The sequence below is a fragment of the Homo sapiens genome, chromosome 8 (genome assembly GCF_000001405.40).
Source record: "Homo sapiens chromosome 8, GRCh38.p14 Primary Assembly".
Classification (NCBI taxonomy): domain Eukaryota; kingdom Metazoa; phylum Chordata; class Mammalia; order Primates; family Hominidae; genus Homo; species Homo sapiens.
Window position 1 is genome coordinate 69,058,799 of NC_000008.11, and position 26,974 is coordinate 69,085,772.

The following is a 26,974-nucleotide window of genomic DNA, read 5'->3' on the forward strand; positions in this document are numbered from 1 at the left end:
TAACTCAACTGATCTATCAGGTGTTCTGTGTTAGGCCACCAAAGAGCAAAGGGAAAATTAGATTTCATGGGAGACTTTTTAGGGACCAAGACTGGAAGTGGTAAACGTAAATTCTACACACATTTTATGGCCCAAACCTGCCAAATATCCCCTTCTAAGCACTTTTGGTGAAGACATAATGGTGTTTCTGCCACATGGGAGATCTTAAATGTTACTGAGATGTATGATAGCTCAGCTGTGTTGTTGCCATTCCTGCTGTGTTGTCTAGCCTATATTTGTTCTTATGCATGGAACTGGTTGAATCCTGTGTGTCTCTGAAGTTTTAAAACCAGTTTAAATCTCAAGACTAGTATTATAGAACAGAGTATTTTAGTTTTGTTTATCTCAGTCCTAACCCATCCTCTCTATCTTTCATGAGGGCCATCCTCCAACATTAAGAGCATCCATCCTCATGTTTTACAAGGAAGTGTGTTCTTTCCCTAGGAGCAATTCTATTTCTAGTCATTAAGCCAGCATTTTTGCTTTCTCTCCAGTATATGTACAGATTTTTAATGGAAATATTCTGGAGCAGTATGCCAAAATATGTTAACATAAGACTTTTGTGGGTGTCAAGAGTCTCTTAACTCTTTATTTAACTTTTTATTCTCATATTTATATTTTACATTATATTATACATCTTTCTGTAATACATTTTAGTTATATATTTATAAGAAAAAATAATTATAAGAATTAAAGTCTAAATGATGGTGATTCTTTTAAAAATCTGAAATTAAAAATTTCAGGCATTTATAAATTCTTCAATTTTCAAATATATGTTATATATATCATCCTTTAGGAGTCCACCTGAGATAATCATTTTTCTAAAATTTATAATCTCTGCTTTAAATCAAATCAGTAAAAAGCTACAAAATTCAGTTCTCCAGCAATTTTTTTTATTTCAGTGATTAATTCATTTATTTGTTTAACTAGTACTTATTGATCTCTTGACTATGTATTTGAAACTCTTTTAGACACTGGGCATACACACAGTAATGACTATTGTACTCATGACCACATACAATAGTCATGGGCCACCATAGAATGGTGTAGATACACCATAGTATCAGATAATGATAAGAGCTATAAAAATAAGGGATGCAGCTGGGCGCGGTGGCTCACGCCTGAAATCCCAGCACTTTGGGAGGCCGAAGCAGGTGGATCACAAAGTCAGGAGTTTGAGACCAGCCTGGCCAACATGGTGAAACCCCGTCTCTACTAAAGATATAAAAAATTAGCTGGGCATGGTGGCATGCACCTGTAATCCCTGCTACTCAGGAGGCTGAGGCAGGAGAATCGCTTGAACCCAGGAGGTGGAGGTTGCATCTCAAAAATAAATAAATAAATAAAAATAAGGGATGCATCAACATTGTAATACTATGTTTATTAGATCCTTTTTTTTAAACAATAATTTCAACTTTTATTTTAGATTCAGGGGATCCGTGTGCAGGTTTGTTACATGGGTATACCGTGTGATGCTGAGGCTTGGGGTACAAACGATCCCATCACCCAAGTAGTGAGCATAATACCCAACAGGTAGTTTTTAGCTTCTCCCTTCTCCCTCTTTCCTCTCTCTAATAGTCACCAAGTGTCTATTTTTCCCATCTTTATATCCATGTATACCAAATGCTTAGCTCCCACTTACATGTGAGATGTGGTATCTGGTTTTCTGCTCCTGCAAATTTGCCCAGGATAATGGCCTCCAGCTACATCCATGTTGCTGCAAAGGACATGATTTCATTCTTGTTATGGTTGCATAGTATTCCATAGTGTTTATGACCATATTTTCTTTAAAATGGTGGTATTTCTTCAATTTCTGGTTAAATTACATAACATTCAAGCGGACACAAATTTGTAGTAATTTAGGTATGGAAGCAAAGCTATGTGATCTGAAATGATAAAAATCACCCAGTTAAGTAAAAATTAGTAAGAAATATTGAAGCATCTGAGTATCTGCTTATATCACTCTAAAAATCAGGAAGTACACCAAATATAAAAACCATTCAAATCAAGCTTCTCTTTTCCTCCCTGCACATACACTTCAAGACATTTTTCAAGATGGCAACAAACCTACTGTCTCTGTCCACTTTTCTGGATTAGCACCTTTCTGCCTTTCATCCATTTTAAAACTAAAAGGGAGAACTAAGACTTGAGGTAGACTGAAACAGTTTGTAGATCATGGTATTCTAGAAGACAAGGCTCCCAGTGAGATGTGTTAAAAACAAGAAAGCATTGTCTGCTGAGGAATAGTTTATAATGAACCACACAGTTTTACCAAGTATCTAATATTGCACCCCTAGGTTCTCCAGCAAAGGAAAGGTGAATTCTTGCAGTGCTCCCAAGTATAATAAAGAAAGCTAGTGGCCATTCATATCTATGTGTCTGCAAACATTATATCTGGCTAGTTATGTTTATTTTTTTGTGGGCCAGTATCAGTCAGACTTCAATTGGAGAATCAGGACTAGGAGATAATGATAGGTAGAGAGAGACAGATATATAGTTGATAGGTAGGTAGATTCATAATAGACAAGTTGCAAGGATTTACGATTGTGGGAGGTGATCACACAATCTGTGAGAAAGCTTTCTGCATAACTATTGCTGGAGCTTGATGTCCACAGGGCAGGTAGAACAGAAGGGAAGATGAACACAAAGTGGAGCCGACCAAGCACAACCTGGACCCACATCAGTATGGACTGAGACCCGTGTTAGTTCTTGTTGCCACTGACCAGGGTGATGTGAGATAATGCAGAAGCCAAAACCCTTTGTCATGGAGCTAACTAAGCATGCACACCTGGCCAGACATTGCCTCACACCAGTGAAGTGAGTTAGCAAGTATCATTGGTGAGCTCCTACCTTTCCCTAGTTACTCATTTATTATATTAAATGTTCCCTGTTGAAGTTACCAATGTGGTCTCTGTCTCCTAAGTGGACCCTGACTGATTTATGCCATCCCTTTATTTCAAGGTTAGATAAAAATTAAAAAATTCTTTCTGCAGATAAATAGATAAATAAGTGTGTGTATGAATTTCTACAACATAAGCCAAAATTCTGCAACATGAAAAAACAACAGAAATTCACTGAACGATAGAGAAAGGGGGTGCTCATTTGTGTTATTGATGTAATCTAGTAAACAGAAAAATAAATTTAAAAATAAGAGAACAGAGAAACACATTATTCATATGAAAAAAGATCATGGAATAAAAATGAACAAAAAAAGAGGGTAGGTCCCAAAGTGAGTATGTAAAGATAAAAAGGCTGTAGGTTTAAAAGAAAATGTAGCAAACTGAGTATAAGTAGAAACAGGCAGAAAAATAAGAGGAATTTGGGCAGTTTTTTTAAAAAAATGCCAAGGTTTATAAATGAAAGGCGCAGAAGTAAAATGTGTTATATACAGGCTAAACTGATTCTGAAAAAAACTTGTTCACTGATATAATTGAGAAGTTCTTGCCAAATGCAGGTAAAAGAACAATAACGTGCATAATAATAAAGATCACAGAAGATCAAAGATTAAATATAAAGAAACTGCTATTTTTAAAGAAAACACATAAAATAATCAGAGACATGTTAAAATTTTTTCGTGCTAAAAACTATAAGTCTATAGTGTTCTAGCAAAGAATAATTATGAGAGAGTAAAAAATAGACTTGTCCTGGAACTAGATGCCAGATGAATACAAAATGATGTTGTCAGATATTTGAAGAGAAACATTTTATAATCCAAGAATCCTGAATTCAGAGGAGTTATTACTCATGTGGAAAAATCTTAGCAACACAGTGCTTAGAAATATTAAACACATTTGCCCTTTCTTATAAAAAAGCACTCAAAGATATACTCTAGCAAACTGAAAGATTAATTATAATTAAAACTCAGAAATAGGGAATATGAAATGACTATTACAATTGAGAACAAAAAACATAGTTTTGGGAATAGTTAAAAGTTTTAATATAAATTTGAAAATAAACTACCCACAAGAAATTAATTTGGGAAAATGTTATTCTTATCACTTTCTTCCTCCTCATCAGTGTTAAATGAGCATATTTAGGAAAATGGAAATACGAGGGGATAAAGAAAGTAAAGCAAGCTAAGCTCAATGATTTTTCATACGTAGAGCAGATTTAAAACACAGGTATTTTCACTTTGATAATTAGATAAATATAAGTCCAAGTGTGTTTTTGAAAATGTAGTGGTAAAAATCTAAAAGTTAAAAATAAGATGTCTTATATTCAAATCATCACCAAAGGTAAAATCAGACTAAACACAGTTTTCATAGCAATAGAGAGAAAACAAAATAAATTAGCAAAGAACACGGTAAAATAACAAATAAAAAAGCAAGTACGTCTGCTACAACATTAAATGTCATCTGATGTTATGACATTAAATTGTTAAAATGCCTCCATAAAAGACAAAGAAAGTTAGATTTGTTTTTTTAAAGTCCAGTGTATGCATCTTAGGAAAGACACATAAAGTAAAATAACAAAAATGGTTAAAAGAAAAATATAGAGAACTACATACCTTACAAGTTTTTAAAAATTGGTAATATCTCACAATAAAATAATTTGAGAAGAATGAAATTAATAAATAGATATAATTCTTAATGCTTTTGAAAAAATTAGACTGTGGAGTAAAATTAAGAGAAAAGCAAAATTAAAAATAATAAGTAAATTTAAAATGTTTAATATGTCTAAGTAAAAATGCTTAAAGCTAAAAGGATGCTAATAATTTTAAAAATACAAATAATGTGAAAAGTGTCAAAAATATAATTTGTTTAGAATAAAAAGCAAAGGGAAAATCTGAATGATTTGAAATATAATTTTTAAAAATTTAAAATAACATGTATAGTGAAGACTAGGATATTTAATTGGTATTTCTTTGTAATTCTCACACTAGAAATACACGTTATTTTAAAAAATTCATAATATAGAAACGTTTTAAAATGTCCCTTAACAGAAAATTATATGTCCTTCTCATGTGTAAATCTGAATTAAAAAAAAGTTTGTTAATCTCTTTTAAAATTTATATAAATGAGTAAATCATGTAAAATAACCAGTTTTTCTTTACAAATACAGTGTCAATGTGATGTTAGAAGACCGTTATTATACTAAATCATTTCAATGGAAATTTCAATAAGAGCTAAGTTTAAATATTGATCTGCCAAATTTAATTGCTGTATACTTCAGCAATTACTTAGCCACTGTGATTTTCTTATTGACATTTGTAAAATGGGAATGCAATTTTTTATGGTAAAATTAAGAAATATTAGTATGCAACATATGAATTAAATAGTACACGGTAAGGGCTCATCAAAGAGTTGCTGTTGGTACATATCAGACAAAAATCATCACAATGTATTTTAAGAATCAGCCAACAATATAAAAAAAGTCCTCCAACCAACTTAAAAAACTCAAGATTTATATCAAAAGAATATTTTATTAATATAAAAATATGTAATTTACACTAACAGTTATCATCAGCAAATTTAGGGCACTAGACTCCAATCTTCAAAATTCAGATAAAAATTTAGATGGACACAGAACCGTTGTTACTAACTTTATTTTAAAGATAGACACACTTTTTAGAGATGCATTTACTGGTTTTTATGAACTAAATCTATCTATCTATCTATCTATCTATATATATTTATATTTAATTTTATTCCTTTTTCTCACTGTTTGGGATAGATGTATATTACAATTACTAAGTCTGCAGGCAGTACCAGAAAAACACTGAGGTCAGAGAATAGGGTTATCTTGTATTTATTTCTACATAAAAAAACATGATTTCTAGAATACATATTTATTTAGATATTCAAGTAATATCTAATATGCAAATAATAATGATAATGTAAATGTTAAATTAAACATTTATATAAATAATGCATAAATATTATTAAAATGAAAACTATGTATGAGTATTTAGAGTAAGAAAATGGAAATACCTCTTGACTTACCAACTCTATACAGAAAGAAGAATTTCAGCAGAAAATACAAACAATTGGAAACAATCACATGAATATCTTAACTTGAAAAATGTAATAACTGAATTTAGAATTCACTGAAATTGATTAGCAGTTGTTTAGACATACCTAAAAAGAGTATGAATAAACTGAAAAAAAAATGATTAAATAAATAATCCAGACAAGCTTGTAATGGGAAATTTAAAAAGGATAGTAGACAAAAGTGCATAAGAAACAAAGAGGGTATTATAAAAGGCCTAAAAATATGTGCAGTTGTAGTCCTAGAAAGAGGGCAAGAATGGAATAGAAGAAATATTTAGTGATGAGGAAAACAAATTCCAGATTCAAAAAGCACTACGTATTCCAATGAGGGTTTTTCTAACATGGCGGGGGGAAAGCACACCAAGTCATAATGAAGTAAACAAAAGACAAAGAAAAATCCTAAAAGCTGCCTGAGAAAAATAGTGTAATCTCTTCAAAGGAGGAAATAATGTAGTCTCTTCAAAGGAAGAACAAAGACAGCTGAAAATAGAAAAAAACAGAAATCAGAAGATAACAGTATAATCAAAGTCCTAAAAGAAAATAACTTCTGAGAATTTTATAGCCAATGAAACTGTATTTCATAAATGAAATTGAAATAAAAATATTTTTAGGCAAACCAAAACAGAAAATTCATTACCATAAGCTTACTCTAAAGGAAATATTGAAGCATGTTCTTTAGTCAAAAGAAGTGATTCCATCTGGATTTATCACTAATGCAGGAGTCATTAGAGTTATATTATAAACCACTTTATTGGTGGTATTATGAATTTCTTCTTACATTTAACAGTTTTTGCTTTATATACTTGAATGCCATATTATTCAGAGCATAAAGACACATGGCTGTTTTATGCTTTTGCTAAATTTCGTCTTCTAACACTGAGTTAGATGCTTAATCCAATTAAATACTTTTTCACTTATTTCATCAGTTATTGCCATAACCACTCCTAATATTTATATAGATTATTTTTGTTCATTCTTTTAGGGATGGTTTGTGATGTGTCTCTAGTAAAAAAAAAATTTTGCTGACTTTTTAAATTACATCTTAAAAATTATGCCTTTTAATGTATTTAACCCATTCAATTTCTCGTGCTTTCTGATACGTTTGACTTGTCTGTTATCTTACTGCATGTTTTCTAGTTATTATATCCCTTTTTCATTTTTCTATTGGTAGTTGATTAGTCAATTTATTTTATTACATTTATAATCTTATCTGTGGGAAGCTATATATACTTTTTTTTAAGATTCTACCCACACTTTTTTACAAATACATTTATCTTTTCATATCAAGGATTAAACTATATCTACATTCTTCTCTATTGAAACAAGACATTCAGCATCTTATTTCCTACCTTCCCTAACATACTTCATTGAAATCATGTTGACATTTAGCACCAGGTTGGTTTCATTTGCTTGTATTTTCATAATATTTCTACCTTTTGGAGAATCTTTTTTTACACTGTATTAAATTTCAGAGTTACAATGGCAGAAATTATTCTTCTATTTCTAATTTTTTTTACTCTCCACCTTTTTTATGTTACATATCCCTCTTTCTTTTGTTCAGAGATAGTGAATATGTATTTTTTAAAATGCCGGTAGGTTTGAAATAGTATTTTACACATATGTATTGCTTTCCATTAGCACTTCAGGACATATTTTCTTTCTCTGTCTGTATTGTGAGTTTCCTGTAAGAAGTCTGATGAGACTAGTAAGGGGCTGGCTGTTTGGTTATTCCCTTAATTCTCATAGCTTAGAAATTTCTGGAGGTCTGCTTAGCATTCTATGTGAAGGTGTGAGTTTTCGTAATATCAATGCAATATTTAATATCTTGCCTTAATTATTTCTTTCCTCTAATCTCTTTCTAACCTTGTTCTGAAGTCCCTACTATGTGGATAATAGATATGGCTTTCCCATTACCAGTATGTAGTAATCTTGCTTTTTTCTGATACTTTACCTCTGATGTTTTGCTCTACCTTCTGGGAGACATCCTTTTTCATCAACTTCTAACTCAGTCTTCAACCGTAGCCTATTATTCTTCAGCCTTCTTATTACATTTTTAATTCTGATCATCATATTTTAATTTCTAATACATATTTTGTAGTCACTGATTACTCTTTTTAATAGCAGTCAGTTCATATTTTGTGGATGTAAAATTCTTCAGTTTTTCCTTGAAGTGTAAATTAGATGTTTTCATTCTTTATTTTCTATTTTTGTTTTTTCCTCTTACTATTGTCTCTATTTCTTCTTGGGTCATTGCTCCGATTTCAACTTTATTCTTCATATTTTGGCCAGAAGCATCTCTGGCTGTTTTACTTCTCTGCTTTCCAGGGTAGGCCCCCTTTTCTTGGACCTTCTGACAACTACCCCATGCTTAATTGCTTTGCTAGAGACCTCTGTGAAATTGCTGTCTCCAAGGTCAGCATTTTTCTGGAGCTTTGACTGAAAGCACTGATCTCACCTCTGTAATGGGTCCCTCCTCCCTCTCTCTCTCTCTCTCTCCTCAAAGTTTGTTCACTGCCTTCAATCTCCCAGGAATATCTCAATGTTTCTGACCCAATGATGATATAATTTTCCCACTCTGCCACTGTTATGAATAAATTTCTTAAAACTAATTTCTATCTTGACTTTTAAATGGGATTTTGGTAGTGAGTCATGAGAAGTAAAAACACAAGAATTTCATTAGCCAAACTGAACCAAAATATTTTGATTGCTTCTTTTTCCAGAAAAATCTTATTTACATATCACCTTCAGAATAATATATGTAAAACCGAAGTACAGTTGCTGCATTTTCTGGAAGAGAAAGCGTTTTTTCTTCTGGTTAGTCTTGAGGGCGTAAGAAAGAAATCTAGGGATATAGGATGTACATATTCAAGTTTATCCTCAGGGTAGCGACCACTTTTACAAGAAAACATTGGAAGCTTAGATAACTGGATATCTTTGAGTTTGGGGGAGTCGAAAGTTATTTTTATTTGCTTATTTTCCTTTGTGTGGCCAGAACTTAGTTGAATATAAATTGATGTAGCTTTTTTGGAAAAAAAAATTTACAATCAATATATTTTACTTTAGAAAATAATCTGGAACATGAATAGAAAAATGTTCCTGCTAAAACAAATAAAAATATATAGTTGTTAAGGTTTTCTCTTTGGTTTTACTCTATTTCCAACTATTTTTGGTGCAATAAGCTCCATTTTAAAAGGTTCGGCTTTCTGAAATACAAAGTGAAATTAATAGTGATATACATCGCTGGTGGAGACCCTGAGTATCAGCGCCACAAATTTCATTGCCATTCACGTGGTAATCTTGTGCACTGGGGATCATCAATACAGGTACAATGATGTGGAAGCCTGGGCAAATTATTTAGCAGGTGAGATTTTGTGCGGTCGATCAATGAGTGACAAGAAACCTAGACTTAATAGAAAGTACCAGCAAGGAATCACTGTTACCAATATCCATCTCGTGACTACATCATGCACGCCCTTGCTAAGTCACTTAATAGGCATTACCTCTGTGAGAAGAATTAAGTGACAGAATGATGCTGCCACAAGCCCAGGCTGGTTCAAGCAGGCAAGGTTCTTCACATTTTCAATTTGCAGCCTTAGTTGAAGGAAGCACTGGGATAGAGTTTCAAGCACCAGCACACCGAAACCAATTACCTCAGTTTTTTCTCACTGGAGTCTGTATAGCATTTCAGTTCTTTGCTGTTTGCTCCTTGTTAGAATTTTCACCTAAAAGATATACAATCATTATTCTTCTTAAGGAAATATGATGCTGTATTCCTTGTTAAAAACACTATAAGATTATTAGTTATACACTAGTATTTTAGAATCAGAATTCAGTAGTCTCCATGCCCCTGCTGTGATATCTAACTATATGTGCCACTTCCACCTGAGTGTTAGCCATTTGTTCTGAGATATCCCACAACATTCTCTATGAACTTCCATATATGTTATGCCCTTCTAGTTGTTTAGTTTCTTGTCTTTTCCCCTAGTATTTTGCAAAAGGAAATTTCTCACAATAGAAAATAAGAACCATAGCTTTGCAAAGTATCTGTACCTAGTACATGTGTGCTAAATACCTAAATGGTTATTCGCAGAGTTTTTTTTTTTTTTTTGGTCTCAACAAAGTGAGAGCATGATTTAAGGATTTATATTTGGGAAGTGCAACTGGAAATTTGCATTAAACCAGCAACTATCAAAAATCTAGAAAATTTGTCTTCACTATTTCAGTGTTTCAAAATATTTCAGTGTTTCACCATATTTCACTGTTTCTCTATTTAAAGAGAACAAATAAAATATTTGCCACTGCATTATTTGCTTTTAGCATCTCTTTGAGCTTTGCCAAGAAGCATAAGGTTTATTATATTCACCACGGGCCTTTTTATGCTGGCAAACATACAAACTACATTAGAAGAACAAATTTAGGTTGAGTGAAAAATAGCCATAGCCATAAAAGGCTCTAATAATTATTCAGTGTCAATGTTGGAAGTGATTCAAAAGAGAGAAGGAGAGATGTATTGATTCATGGCCTTCATCTTTCTTTTTCCCAAGAAGTCCACAAAACTTCATCATTTTCATCCAAATATTGTTCTCAGGATTTATGTCCCTGTGTTTAAGGCTTTTCTTCTTCGTGGTGTCTGAATAGGTTTTGTAGGTTATGTTCTTTGACTTTGGAAACTCTTTTTTGTGCAAGTTTCTTGTGCTCTTCATTTCCATTCGCTCAAAAGAACTCTCCAAGGAAATAGCAGTGAAAAACAAACACAAAACAGCACTTGTGTGCTACAAAAACCCAAAAGTGCATCAAATTTCATATTGTTCTAACTCTAAAGAGCTCATCTTGATCTACTGTGTCTCCAGTTAAATGAATGAATATTTGGATTCAAAACAGATAAATATATATGATCTGCTTTCAGTTTTCCTGCCCTACACATGACTTTTAAAACTGTTGACAATGATGCTTTATTCAGTGCAACAAGCAGGAGAGTTTGGCTCTGAACAGGGAGAACTTTGTAAAAATTAGTGCTTTACAATAATGAGATGGACTGCCTCCATGATTCATAAATTCTATGTCTCCAGGGGAGATCAACAGCCTCTTACTGGGAAAATTGTCGAGTCAAAAGAGGATGATCATTAAGTACCCTCTAAATCATTTCCAGTATACATTAACCATGTGTTCAGTGGGAATTGGAGAAGATAAGGACATGAAAGTTACATTTAACGGTCTCACTTCATGAATTCAGGGAATTTACCTCTAGCCCAGGAAAGACAAATAGAAGAATAAGTTCAATGCTAATATCATTGGTACTGACCAGTGTTCCAAGGATTTGAGAGGCAGGCAATATTAATAAAAAGTGAAGCAATCAGGTTAGGCTTTAAATAAAAGCTAGAACATTAACACGTGCAATGAAAAATAGTATGGATTAGTTGGGCAGAATAGATGAAACCATGTAGACCAACACCAAGGACCAGGAAAAGTGAAGTAAGTGAGCACTATGTTCAAAGAACCTGTTGGGGTGCATGGGAAGACAGATTCCATGACTTATATTTACTCTTATTATGTCATTCTGTTATTCTGGTTTTTTGTTTGTTTGTTTTTGTTTTGAGACAGGGTCACATTATCTTGTCCAGGCTGGTCTCAAACTTCTGGGCTCAAGTAAGTGATCCTTCTGCTTTGGTCACCCAAAACAGGTGTGAACCACTACTCCTGACCTCATATGATTCTAATATCAGCAAACATAAAATTGACACCATTTTGAAACATTCAAATCTGGGGGCTTTCCCAAAGCATTGTATTTAGGGCTAACATCCTTCTGTATTCTACTCTTTAAGTCTCACCTCCCAGGTCTCATTTTGTAAAGGATGGAACTACTGCTGTTCATGAAAGTTAGTTAATGTCTAAGCAGAAGTTGCTAAGAAGATTCCTATGTTGGTTTGTCTGTCATTTTTATTGCATAGTTATGTATAAAATGGTTGACAACATGATTGAGCACAAGCCAGGCGAAAAGAAAAATATTTGTTGAATGGGTGAATAAATGATGTGATTTTACAGTGTTTACATAAGGAAGTGTTTGCTCCTAAAGCTTCAAATCCCCCTAAATAAATATGATCAAAACACAATAGCAATTATCTACTATCATTCCTTGTTATTTGAAGGATTAATTAGCTACAAAATGCTACATTGATATTTCAAATACAGGAAAAATACTGTGCATCCGATTATGGTTTGCAGTGCTCTTTTCCAGCTTAAAAAATAGTATTTTTAACTGGCCTTTGAAATAATATTTTGCAGGCCACAAATTGGTGTTAGTTTACACATAAGCCAGACATCCAATGCTGACTTCAGAGGTTAACTATTGAAGGGTGAGTCAATAGAAGCCTGCATGTAAGAACATTATAATAAAAAGCAAGTCACAGAGATCATATTCTCATTAGGAAAACTTCCATCTCTTTAAAATTTCTGTGAAACATTGTTTGGAGTAACCTGTGAAATCACAATGGGGAAAAACAAACCAGGCTTTGGCTGACATTTACAGCAAAATCGAATTCTTCATCACAACTGGAGGGTGTATAATGAGTGGGTGTTTTAGGGTAGACAATGGAGGGAGTTCTTCAAGTCTGTTTTACATGAGTTAATGTTGGCAGGTAATGTTCTTATTGCTGCCACTGTTTTGTTAAGAAGGAAGAATGTGTTGTAAATCCCCTTAAAATTAAAAATAAGGCACCAACCCTCCCACCGCCCAACATGAGTTCATTCCACTAAAATGACTTCTTTTAGAATAGTTAAAGAAGGTCTGAGAGCCATAGATTTCTCCACCCAATTACTGGAAGTCTTTCATTTTTTTTCCTCTGGAGGCTTCACGGTGACAGCCCTAGAGTGGAATGTGGATGACTTTGCTATAACCTAGGTAATGAACCATACAAACTTTGTGAATAATGCCTGCACTTAATATGAGGCAGAGGCAAACAAGTCAAGAAAACCAGTGTAAAGATAATTTTGACTAAATCAGACAAGGTTATTTACCATCAATATTTGAAATCAAATGTATCCCAGAATCCAAGGTGTAAAGTGTGTGCTGTCCCCAGATCTGCAGTTAGACTTGGAATCCAAAACAAGTCCTCGTATTTCTAAATCAATGCAGTTGTTATGTTATGTACTTCATTTTATCAAGCGTCATGTTAGTTCCAATCAGGAGATCATAAGCTGGTACTGAAAACGTGAGAGACAGTGATCAATGGTTTTTGGAGTGAAAAACAAAATCCTTTATACCGCAAGCTGCCATTTGAAAGCCACCCCTGAAGAAGCAGCCAAAGGACACAGTAAAGCAACTGCCTTTCAAAACAAATGCAATAAATCTCATCCAGTGCATTTCAAAGAGTTAAAAAAGCTTAATAATGATCTCTGCAGTAATTCAAATTTTACCAATTTTAGGCAAAAATATTTTGATGCTAAAGTAAATAGTGTATTTCATTTACAAAACGTATGTAACAAAACCAGCAATATGTGCATCCTGGCCTTCATCTGAAATGTAGTCTCTAGGGGCAACTCTGGCTTTAAATACTTAGCCCACTCTACTTTCAATAATGATTATAAAAATACAAAGCAAATGTCTGGAGATGAACAGTAATTTATTTCTGGTTTCTAGTTTTCATGTTTTTCAGACTTGAATGGGTTTTTTGATTCTTGAGCTCTTATAATTCTAGGAACTATAAAGAACATGAAAAAGTGGTCAAGAAGCCAAAGGAGAGAACGTAAGCTATTCCCTCTGTGCGTATTCTCTGTTTCACTCTGTCCTTGTGGGCATTTTTATCAACCTGAAGGGGGTATTTGCATGTTAGGTTGTCTTAGGGAGCCTTAGACCATCTCATTGAATAGGTTCAGAAGTCCCCTAGAAGAGCAGTCCCCAACCTTTTAGGCACCAGAGACTGGTTTTGTGGAAGACAATTTTTCCATGGATTCTGGGTTGGGGATGGTTTCAGGATGAAACTGTTCCACCTCTGATCATCAGGAATTAGATTCTCATAAAGAGTGCGCAACCTAGATCCCTCGCATGCACAGTTCACAACAGGGTTTGCCCTCCTGTGAGCATCTAATGCCACTGCTGATCTGACCAGTGGCAGAGCTCAGGCGGTAATGCTTGGCTGCCACTCACTTCCTGCTGTGTGGCCTGGTTCCTAACAGGCTACCTAACCTGTACCAGTCTGTGGCCTGGGATTTGGCGACCCCTGCTGTAGAACAACCATCACTAACAATGATCATCATTTATTGGGCCCTTAATCTGTTCCAAGAAACGTCTAAGCAGTATATATGCATTGCTGCATTTATTTTCGTAAGAACTCTAAGAAGTGGATCTTATTATTATCCTCAGTTGATGATAAGAAAATAGTATTAGAAATCCTGGCCGGGCGTGGTGGCTCACGCCTGTAATCCCAGCACTTTGGGAGGCCGAGGCGGGTGGATGACGAGGTCAGGAGATCGAGACCATCCTGGCTAACACGGTGAAACCCCGTCTCTACTAAAAATACAAAAAATTAGCCAGGCGTGGTGGCGGGCACCTGTAATCCCAGCTACTCGGGAGGCTGAGGCAGGAGAATGGCGTGAACCCACGAGGCAGAGCTTGCAGTGAGCCGAGATCCTGCCGCTGCACTCCAGCCTGGGCGACAGAGCGAGACTCTGTCAAAAAAAAAAAAAAAAAAAAAAAAATCCTAAGTAAATTATCCAAGCAAATAACCTAGGTGATGAACTCAAACCCAGGTCCATCTGATTTGAGAGTCCACAGCTTTAACTACTACAAGATATTGTCTATATGCTGCTACAGTATTTGATTGCTAAAGGTAAACACAAAAATGATACATGAGAAAAGTTTACTTTAAACCCAAGGCTGTATTTGGGAAGATAAAGATAATCAAGCTTGACTAGGGTGAAAGTGGTATGTAGTAATATCTAGAAGAAACAGCAACAGGAAAAAGAAAAGCGTTGGTATCTAAGACAGAAAATGATTAATTTAACATGTAGGACTGTAAAAACTGGCCATAATTTGCACTGGAAGTCACCACAAGGGACATAATGAGGAATCTAATGAAGTTACTCCCTGATCTACTAGCCCCAGGCTCCAGAGGATAATGAGCTAATGCCTTTGGAGGCTGATACCCGAATCCCCCCAGGGAGAAACCACTTCTAAATGTGAAGTGGGATGCAGGTAGCCTCCACCAAAAGTATATTAGATTAGAAAAAAAGAGACTAAAAGCAAAGATAATCAGTACAAATAGGACTAGATGAATTCAAGCGTGAATGGAATTGAGAACTAGAGCAAGTTGCTGGAGAGAGAGCAGCTTAAAGTGGAAACCACTGTGAAACAGTCAAATCCCGGGACTCTGAGAAATGCTAGAAAAATGTGTTACAGATTGTCATTTAGCCACTTCTATTAAAGCTGAAGAGTAGCTCTAGGGATTAGAACAGAGTCATTTCTATGCTGTTTAAACTAATTTATTCTTTATACGAACCAGAATAAGTAAGAAACTCGATTGGAAAAATTGGTTCAAGAAACTTCCTGAGTGAGCACATTTCTGAGCACTGTGGGCTATGATAAAATGAATGAGTCATAGTCTATCTTAAAGAGGTTCCCACTCCAGTAAGAAAGATATGGCCAGATACACAAATCACTCTTCAGGACATAATGGAGAAAGGCACAGAGAGGTAAAAAGTGTAACAGATGCTCAGAATTCCTTGCCAAGGTGACAGGAAGGTGACATTAAAGGACAGATATTTTAGGTGTGCTTGAAAGAGAGTGAAGGATTCAGGTGATGGAGATAACAAGAGAACTTCCAGGAAGAAAAAATCAATAAAGGCTGGAACACCAGAAAGTGCAGTTATCTTGAGGGAATTGGAGACTGTGTGTGTGTGTTGGGGGTGACAGCGGAGAGGGGAGGTTAGACAGGGTCTCACTCTGTCACCCAGGCTGCAGTGTGATGGCAGAATCTTGACTCACTGCAGCCTCGACCTCCCTGGGCACTGGTGATTCTCCCACTTCAGCCTCCCGGGTAGTCGGGACTACAGGCACACACCACCACACCTGGCTAATTTTTGTATTTTTTTTGTAGAGACAGGATTTTGTCACATTACCCAGGCTGGTCTGCAACTCCTGGGCTCAAACGACCCGCCTGCCTTGGCCTCCCAAAGTGCTGGGATTACAGGCATGAGCCACTGTGCCCAGCCAGGAATGGAGATTCTAAGAACATAAAATACATGTGGGAAAAAGCAATTAAGATTGAAAGAGCAGAATAGGAATTATCTGAAGGGGTCTTAAATGTTAACTTAAGGAATTTGGACTTCCTCTGGCAAATAGTAGTCTTAACTCTTTCCATAGAAGAAACAAGTTTTGCAGAGAACAGCAGAATGCAAATCATACCTGCAGCTAATTAAAGTAACGAAGACTTGTGCTTTTCAAACAAAAAACACAATGTTGGATATTCTGATCTGCATGAGTGTGAGAAATTTAAACAGATCTCAATGTATGAAAAGTAGGGAATACTGAGCAGCAACCAGGTTAGGTTTTTTAGAAATTTAAGTTGAAAAATACATCAATGAAACCTGAAGTACGTTACATAATATGTAAAACTCAATGTCATGTAAAGTGTAGGTTTAGAGAATGATGAAAAATATTTGGTAATTCATGGACCCGCCCTCCCAAAAAAGTGAAGGAAATTGTTTTTCATCTAATTACAGGAAACTAGGACATATTATTGAATAGCAAGAATGTCAAAGTAAACACAAGTAAAGTTGTAGCCCAAATTGGATCTTCACTGTGTATGTGAAAAAAAAAAACAAGCAGCTCTATTTTAGAAGCGTCTATGAGTGAATGGGGGTGTTCATATGTGTATGTAAACACACACACCCACAAAGCACATTTCTCCATATGCCGGGATTGCTTTATTATGTAATAATCATCTTTCTGCAGACAAACAGCATGCAGGAAATGGAAGCCAGATGTTTAAATTAAGTGCAGCCAAGGAAAGACTTCCATAAGCAATTATTTTGACCAATTATACATGAGACAATATTGTCACCTACAAGATAAGACTTGAAGTTCAGTAGTTTAAAAATTATATACTCATACAAGTCAAGAAACTAACTTGAGAGTTTTCTTCATCATTGCCCTAAGGAAACTATCATCAGTATTGTCATTTAAAATTTTATGTAGTAACAACTGTAAATAAACATTTTTTATTTATATTCCAGATGCAATGTGAGATTTGCAATAACCACTTTATAGTTTAAAACCAGGGACCTATAACTGAATTTAAATCTGAACTAACATTCTTCAAATTGAAGTTCAAATATTGCAAATGCTTAATTCAGAAATAGCTCAATTTTCTTCTTCAGATTTGTTAGGAATGCAAAAGATGAGAGTACATATAAATTCCCATCAGTAGTACCTTATTTTTCTGTAGCAATATTATACTGTCCTCATGTATCCTCAAGAACTGTAACTTAAGCTAATGCAACTCTGTCTTTAGCCAAGCAACTTGAGATGTGAAAGATACATTGGTTTCATGTATAACGCATTGTCTCCATATGTTAGGGGACACTATTCTGTCCTAGTCCATATAGAGAGAAAGCAGACAGACCAAAGCCTAGGCATGGCAAACCACTAGAAAGTGTCAAGGTCAACTAGCAAAAAAAGCTGTGGTTGAGCAGTCAAGGGACCTATCTTATGAGAAGGAAAACCAGTATCATACAGTGAAAGACAATGTGACTCTGATCTAGGGTTAGGGTGAGTACCTGTTCTGGTTTACTCAAGACAGTCTCAGTTTTAACCCTGAGTACCCATGCCCCTGAAAACAAAGCCCTCCCTGGATTTCAGCAATAGGTGTGGAAGTTTGCGAGAAAAACATAATACATACACAAAGCTACAAATGAAGGGGCTGCAGGATAACAGTTTATAAAATCAAATGGACAAAAACATATGCGAAAAGAATCTGGGCATAAGCATAGTGAAAAAGGGATGTGAAAGCACACATGGAGACTGAATTTTGAAAGCTCAAAATGAGTTAGGCAAATACTTTTAAATTAACATTTTTTGTCTCCCCCAAAGATATAATACTAAGTCAAAAATGGCTTGGGCATGACACCCCAATGAACAGAGATTGTCATAGCTTTCCCTTGATTGCTCTATGAAACTGCGTAAAGTTATGTTTACTGATTCAGAGATTGCAATGAAAATATCTTATGAGCAAGGCTGGGCACGATGGCTCATGCCTGTAATCCCAGTGCTTTGGGAGGCAGAGGCAGGAGGATCTTTCGAGTCCAGGAGTTCAAAACCAGCCTAATCGACATAGCAAGACCCCCATCTCTACAAAAATTAAAAAATTAGCTAAGTGTGGTGGCACATACCTGCAGTCTTAGCTACTAGAGGAGCTGCAGCAGGAGGATGACTTGAGCCCAGGGTTTCGAGGCTGCAGTGAGCTATACTCACGCCACTGCACTCCAGCCTGGGTGACAGGGCAAGACCTTATTGCAAAATAAATACATAAATAAAATAAAAATCTTATGAGCAAACTGAAGGGAATATTTTAACAATGGATGTGTTGTCCCCTTACAGCACAGCTCAGATTGTGTCATACCAACAATCGTCTTACCAACAATCAGGTTTTCTGCAGTTACACTGAATGATATGTTAGATTACAGCAAGAAACAACAAGAAAAAATGTTTCTTTTAGTTATTTTACTTTGATTTGAACAATGGAGTTTCAAATCATCTTGATTTCTGTAAAGATTTTAGTGAAGTAGCAGAAAAGCTGAAACAACTGATAGTTCATCCAAATACAAACTAAACTTTGCTCATCTATCTGCATATTTGACAGATACTGCAAACACAAATTTTGGCAGTGTCCATGTAGTTTATAAAGTTTTCTTGCCAAAGAAAATTAAATCTTAATTAATTACAAAATTTAATCTAGTTAAGTGTTGTAGGCAAGATACACAGAACGTTGCAGGTAAGATATGCAGTGTTAATACAACACTTTAGAAGGGTTGTGATTTGCTTACCTGTGATATTAAAGTTTACATAATGAGGTTTTCCGTCATTTCTTTAAACTGCATAGAAACAATACAATTTTGACTCAATAGAAATGGAAGGATATAGCCTCGCTGTTCATGGGCCTACAGGAAGGCTTGTGGCTAGACATAAAGAAGGTGTTAAAATGTGGACGTGCTGTAAAATTATATTTTCAAACTATGAGCAAGAATAATGTCATTCTCTAATTTAGAAACACATTGAGAGTCAGAATGCAGAAAAAGATTGTAGTGAAAAGTCTATTTATATGCTATATCTTCGAAACCATGTGTTGATATCTGAAGACAGCATAAGGAGCTTAAAGCAGACTTCACCTGTGTTATTCAATATTGCCTGTATGTTGCTAAAGTCATGCAGCAAAGCATTGCTTGTTTTGAGGAAAAATAGACTGCTTCAGAACACGTACAAAAAATATCTATCACTAGCAAAGGGCAGCCAAAATAAATAGAACTCTCTTAATTTCTTTACTAAAACTCCAACTTCAATTTTACAAGTTCAAATTATCGATACAATTTTAAACCATTTTCCCTGAGAAAGAAAAGTCTAACTTAGGATGACATTCAGTGTGGCTCCTAGTGTTTAAAAATAACGAACGTTTTAGAAAAGGAGAGCGTATGTGATGAGTTTGTAGATGCAAAGGACCAACGAAAGCTGATCCCAAAACGAGATGGAGATACAAAGTAGAAGGACATTCTTGGAGATCTGGAAACTAATTTTAGGGAAGTCTAAATACCTGCTGATGCTATTAGGTCAGCTCCTAAATATTTCATGCTCAAATACTTTTTTTGAGAGGCTATTTAACTTGATGTCATCACTCTGGAAGCACATCAGGAATCTGTGTAATCAGGGCATGGTAAGAACAGAGCTGCAAGTCAAAGGACATTTTATTTTTTACTGGATTCAGTTTTACCATTACATGAAAGATAATAAAAATGTCCTGGGCTGTGAGCAGTTCAAAGGGGCAATATTAAGAGAGAAAACTGAAATAGAAATATCCTATTGTATCATGAGTTTAAAAAGTTATTAAATATTATTATACTTATACATATTATTTATTAGTAAATCCTACTACTAATTACTACCCATTGCCACTGTTTACTACAATTGTTGCTTTGTTTAAATCATAGCATTAATGTAATAGAAAAGAAAATAATAAGACATAATATATAATTTCATATAAATACCCATTTTAATAACACACATGGGCATAATTCCTTATTATATGTTATATTGTTATGTTCTTTCTGTTTGGCATGGCCAGGTCTCAAACCAGCTCTCTAACAAGTTAGTCACCCTATACCTAAGTCTGAATTCTGGTTCTGCCAAGCACTGTAGCCTTGGGTACGTCACTTAACATTCTTCAGCCCAATATGCCTCATCTTACAAAATAATTATAAACAGTGATAAGCTTTGAGACATTGTCATGATGGAAATGATCAGTGCATGTTAGCTCTTTCACTATGCTTGTCCCACCTGAAACTGTCAATCCATGGTCAGGTCTTCGAATGGATTTTATTTTCCTTGATAAGGTCTTATCTTTTGTTGGTTCTGTGGCCTCAGGATCCTGTTACTTGGACCTATTCAAGCCCTTCTTTCTCAAGGCCTTATAAGGCCCTGGGTGCAGGATGTAAGTGTAAGCTAAGTCATTTCTGATTCCTTCTCTGGTCAATTCTTGAGTCCATTTGCACAGTTAAATTGCCTAATTCAAGAGATTCTTTATTTAAGAAAAAAAAAACATTTCAGAGTACTTTTCATTCATATCAGTTGCTTTCAGGAAAATCCCTATAATCTACTTCTGATTCCACCACTGCTGTAAACCAAAGCCAAGTACAAGGGCTACCTACACATCACAAGAGAGAGAGCACTGAGGCCTGGGAATTGCTGAATGGTTTCTCTTCAGGAAAAGCAGTGATTTGAAGGAAGACTTTTTGAAATATGGCCTTTTGTTTCTTGCCCTAAGTCAGCTAGCAAGAAATATTTCTAAGAGGAGAAACAGGAAAATACCAAATAGAGAGCTTGTCAGTTTGTTTCCTAAAGGGATAATTTTCTAGTGGCATCATGCCAGGAAGCTGGTTGTTCCCATAGTCCTTTCCCACCCCCCTAAACATAGTTACAGACTATGTGTAGGGTCAGTACAAACTGTGTGATCAGACACAGAAGCCAAACTGGAGAGAATGTGATGTTCGGTTTGTGGTCAGTGTGACCATGAGGCCAGACTGATTGGTGGTGCCAGGAGGCTCAGTGTGGTGTAGTCAGAGGGAGACAAGGATGTGAGCAAGATAATCATCTGCTTTATGACTCTCAGGCCAACATGGGGTCTGTAGAGGATGAGGTGGCCTGAAACCTCTCTGCAGGGAGGATGTGGACAGAAAAAAACAACCAAACTTTGGACATCAGAGTGCACCGCACAATAATAGAATCCACAGAAAAAAATAACTGGAACAAAAAAATATAATGCAACAAATGGCTAGAAAGAAAAGAGTACCTTATACATTACCAACCCATGCACTCCTCCAAATTTAGACATCAACATGTAAATGGAAAATCCTGGGCTGCAGGGATGTAGGGAAATCCTTAGAATGTAAGTCACCCTTCAGTAAGAAAAGGCACTTTCCTCCAGAAGCCTTGGCACAAGGTTTTTGTGGGACCAATAGTTACAAGGCTCACTGGCCAGGAAATGAACATATGTTAAATTATGTATCTTTGATGACTTAAATCCTGAGGCCTTAGGATGTGAAGTTTTGAGATGGGAAATAAGGATTAGAGTCTCAGTCTATGACAGACCAGATGATTACTCTTGGTTCCTGGCGCAAGCTGCTGCCTTAGGTATTCTGTTGGTCGTGGGGAGGGTAGGGGACAAGGATGAGGAGGTATGTAGGGGATTTTAAAAAGTTAAACATCAGGAGTTGGGGGTTAAGGAATCCAAGCATGGAACACCTTTGTTTGAATTTAGTCATGAGAAAGAAGAATTATGTTTGAATAAAATCTTGTAATGGAGTTTCAAACTCTAGAGGACTAACATTGTCAGATAGTGTAGGGTGAGTGATATAGTTTGGCTCTGTGTCCCCAAGCAAATCTAATCTTGTAGCTCCCACAATTCCCACATGTTGTGGGAGGGACCTGGTGGGAGATGATTGAATCATGGGGGTGGGTCTTTCCTGTGCTTGTTCTCATGATAGTGAATGGGTCTTGTGAGATTTGATGGTTTTAAAAATGGGGGTTTCCCTGCACAAACTTTCTCTTTGTCTGCTGTCATCTATGTAAGATGTGACTTGCTACTCCTTGCCTTCCACCATGATTGTGAGGCCTCCCTAGCCATGTGGGACTGTAAGTCCAATAAACCTTTTTCCTGCATAAATTACCCAGTCTCTGATATGTCTTTATCAGCAGCATGAAAACGGACTAATACAGTGAGTTTCTGAAAGTGACAACATGTGGCAGCAGCAAGAGGCAGGTGCAGTAGTAGGCTAATAAACAATCACAACACTAGCCTGAACTGAGTGTGGAAGGCAGTTGACTACTTCATTTTCCAATTTGGGACCGTATAAGACTTTAGGCTTCATAAAAACTCCAGGGAGACAGGGAGAGACTGGAATTCTTGCCATCAAGGTTAGGTATTGAATCAATGAATTAAAAACTGAAAATTAGTAGAGGCAAGACTATACTTTCACCCTATGTTATAGAGTATACATTCAGCTTGCAACAAGAATTACTTATTTATAAAGGAATGTACATTTCTAACAAGCTAGGTTTAAATATTCCTAGAACCTCCTAGTACATTCCACTAGAATATAAGTTCCAGGAGGGTAAAGGATTCAGTGCCATATTCTCAAAACTTGGGAATATAGCAGGCTGTTAATGAGTATTTATTGTATAAGTGAATAAAAGGTGTATTGATTATAATATTTTGAGCTTCTTAAATACTAATTAAATAGATGGATCATTACAAGGTATGGAGAAAAATACAAACACATGATTTATTTCTTTTTCATAGCAGAAATAAATATTTTAGATTCATCTACGTGTAAGTTAGAAAATTAAACATAATTGAATTGAATTTATATAAACATTCCTTGGGTGCTTATATTATGTGAGATACTGGGCTAAAAATTTAATTGAATGAGCGAGTTCCTGTTCTTCAGCAATCTGGTGAAGAAATACAACCTAAGGTGACATTACCGTTCACTTTAACAGTGAGGTATCTGGACAGTGTTCTGGAAGACTGCAGAGACTGATGTAAAGCAAAAGTAAATGAAGGAGCCTAGGACAGGCTCCATGGAAATATGACTTAGCTGACTTTTTTTTGAGACAGAGTCTCTGTTCCCCAGGCTGGAGTGCACTGGCGTGATCTAGGCTCACTGCAAGCTCCGCCTCCCGGGTTCACGCCATTCTCCTGCCTCAGCCTCCCAAGTAGCTGGGACTACAGGTGCCCGCCACCACGCCCGACTTAGCTGACTTTTAAACCATGTGACAAAAAATAGTCAGCAAAGAACAGAAAAAGATTTAAGCAAGGACAAAATATATTCAAATCATAGATAGACTGAGCATCTAGTGTTTTAGTTTGATGTGGCTAGAGAAAAGTGTGCAAGAAGGGCATCAGTCAGAAGAGAACCCTTGGAGATTCCATGTCTGTATAATCATATATATATGATTACATATAAGTTGTACATCATGTAGGTGTTGTACATCATATATATTATACATCATTACATCATATATATATATATATATATATATATATATATATATATATGTTGCATACCATTACATCATACATATGTATCAGTCTTTCCTCAGTACCTGTGGGGGATCTGTTTTAGAACCACCACCACCACCACCCACCTTGGATATCAAAATCCTCAGATGCTCAAGTCCGTTATATAAAAAGGTGTAGTGTTTGCATATAACCTACACACATCCTGCTGTATACTTCATTATCTCTACATTACCTATAATACCTAATACAATGTAAATGCTATGTAAATAGTTGTTATACTGTATTGTTTAGGGAGTAATGACAAGGAAAAAGGTATATATGTGTTCAGTACAGAGGCAACCGTCCATTTTTTTCCTCAATGTTTTCAATTCATGGTTGTTTGAATTCACAGACATAGAGGACTGGTGTGTGTCTGAGCACAATTTATTATAGAGATTTGACCTTATGCACGTGTGGAAAATAATGAAGTCATGTCTGCAGTGCTGCTGTCTTTACTGGCAGAAGGTTTTTTTATCTTTTCTGTCACTGGAGCCGCACTCTTCCATCCTGCGTGCTGGCCTTAGTCTGCAGCTGGATTCTGCCTCATTCAGCCACCCCATCTTTTTCCTCTCTCTTAGTTGCTCGTCGATTTGCCCTAGTTTTATTCTCCCCTGTCCCTGCTCCTGCTCCTCCACTTTTCCAGCCCATGATGACACTTCTTTGAGTCTGCTGCTATTGGGAGGGGTTCTCATCATTCTCAGTTCTTTATGAACAGCCACAGTTGTTCCTAAGAAACTTGGAATATATTCTGCCTAGAACAACATTTGAAGGAAGACATCTGAGTCACTTAAACGCATTTATTCCCAATAATAATCATTAGTGTATTCAGATAGGTATATGTGTTTCAGGTTTGTGATATAATAGGAAGAAGAATACCCTTCTTTGTTAAGGTGCTTGTCTCTACACCCAGCACCAAATCCCTCCCAGGCTTCTGCCAGCCCCACTCAGTCTTAGTTCCAATACTAATGGTCTATTATTTACTCCCAAACTCCCTTACATCTATTCAATTAGTCCTTCAGGGAGTCGTTGGTTCCCGAAGCAAGCAGATATGCAGCTTAATCCAGGTCCCACAATGACTCACCATCTACCACTATCAGACATTCAATAGACACGTGTTTCCATTTCCATTGGCCCCCTAAGCCTTTATTCCACTAACCAGAGTCCCACTATGAAAGTCAAAAGCATACTATATTTTATATATGAACTCTAAATTTCAAAACGTGTGTATTTTTAGAGTTCCCTTCTGGAATTTTGGTAAAATAGCTTTATTTACCCCCTTCTTCCATTTACTTCTGAAATGCCAGCCATTTAAGATTAACTTTAAACAAGTTAATTTCCCTGTTATTACTTTTGTTGCTGTTTTTCCTTCTTTCTATATTTCTATATTGTGTTCTTTTAATTAATATTGTCTTCCAGTATTTTTGTGGCAAATGTAATCTAGCTAGGAAACATAGGTAGAGGAAATCTGCGGAAAAATGTGTCTCATACTCTCGCAAGCTTTCGTACCAACTTTCTTATAATGCCATTCATTCCTATAATCTTTTTGAAGATATATAAACCAATAGGTGAAAAACTAAAACGCTAATGCAGATTTAAATTTTGTTACTAACAGATGGAAATGGTGGTATTTTGAGAATGGAGCCAAAATCTGAGGACAGATTAAAGCAAACATAAGAAGTTTCATAACAAAAAAAAGAGTACCAAAAAAAGAGTAATGTCATGAAATTTTGGAATTGAAGGAAATTTCAATTTAGTGGAACCATTCACTGTTTGAAGAAGTCTCTCTTCAGCATATAAGAGACTTAATGACAAGTCAGTATTTTAAATGAAAGAACCATATTGAAGATGACCTGAATTAATTGATTTATTAACCCCAGTTATTTTGACCATAAAGTCCATTTTATTTATTTTCTGAATGATTTTTCTGGACCTTACAATGAGATAAGTCAGTATGACAAAATATGTGCACACACATATATTCACCCACACCCACTCTCTACTAGACCTACCTGTAGTCAATAAAATGTGCTTTTTTAAACCAAAAAGTAATATGTTTAATGATAAAATTCTTAACTTTCTCTAACTAAGGTTAAGTATAGCCTAAATTGATTTTGTGTAAAGGTAAATGTAAGCCCTGATTGTATAAATAGTTTAGATGATAGGAATAAAAGAATCATAATTTAAAAAAAAAAAACTAGAGCCTTTTAATCTGTTTGAACAAAGCATTTCAACTGGATAAGATCCAGGATTTTACTACCAAGAAAAGGTACCGAATGTCTAAAACTTTTTTTTAATAAACTCATAGCCATTTTAACAATTTTTACTTCAACTTTTTAATATGCCAATCTTCTGAAGTATATAATCAGAAACTTCAAGCCATTTTGATGTAGATCTAGGAGGTATTGTATATTCTAGATTAAAATAGAGCCAAAACTCTTTAATATAAGGTCAAATTACTTCAGAATCTTATATCTCCTCCGAACATTTATTTCAAACTTAGAACTGTGAAAATAGTCCTCTTTTTCTCAGCATAACCTGAAAGTCAACTGCTAAGAGGCATGTACAGTAAAAGAATTTTGAAAAATAACTTCAGGTTTTGTATTTGAATTTACATCATTCCTATTTCACTTTCCTAAGTGTAGTCCTCATATTTCTACCAGACATCAGTTTCAGCTAACTGTTTTATAAGAGCTGTGAGAAGCTTGAGAAATTAATTTCAACAACTTATCATTCTCGATAATTAATAGGATCTTAGGTATGCCAGTTTCTCAGAAATATCTTAAATTACAGGCTTAATTTACCTATTTCCTATTTTTTTGACCGCCAGAGTCAAAAATGTTGGATGATTTTCTTCAGCTGCTTTTTAAATTGCATAAGCAGAAAAAAGGAAAATGAGGGAGGCTGAACCCCATCAACAGTTTCCATTCTGACCTGCTCTTTTACATTTGCTTGCTGAATACATACATAGAGTTCAAACCAGCTGGCCTTCAAGGTTGTGTAATTTATTTTATAAATGCTGGCTTATTTTTTGGACATTTTAACTTCTGGTCCTGGTAGGACATATCATGCCAATTGTTTACAAAAGGAAGTTTGGATTCTAGTATATTGCCAGACAACATTTTT

The 26,974-nt window shown here is 35.4% G+C and overlaps 1 long non-coding RNA gene across 1 annotated transcript in view; it reads right to left on the reverse strand.

The window, feature by feature from the left end:
- The window catches only part of LINC01592 (long intergenic non-protein coding RNA 1592), a 192,388-nt gene that overhangs the window by 146,996 nt on the left and 18,418 nt on the right, over window positions 1-26,974 (reverse strand). The window contains exon 2 of the long non-coding RNA NR_039986.1: window positions 9,530-9,751. This is a non-coding gene — a long non-coding RNA (long intergenic non-protein coding RNA 1592). The remainder of the gene's footprint in view (window positions 1-9,529; window positions 9,752-26,974) is intronic.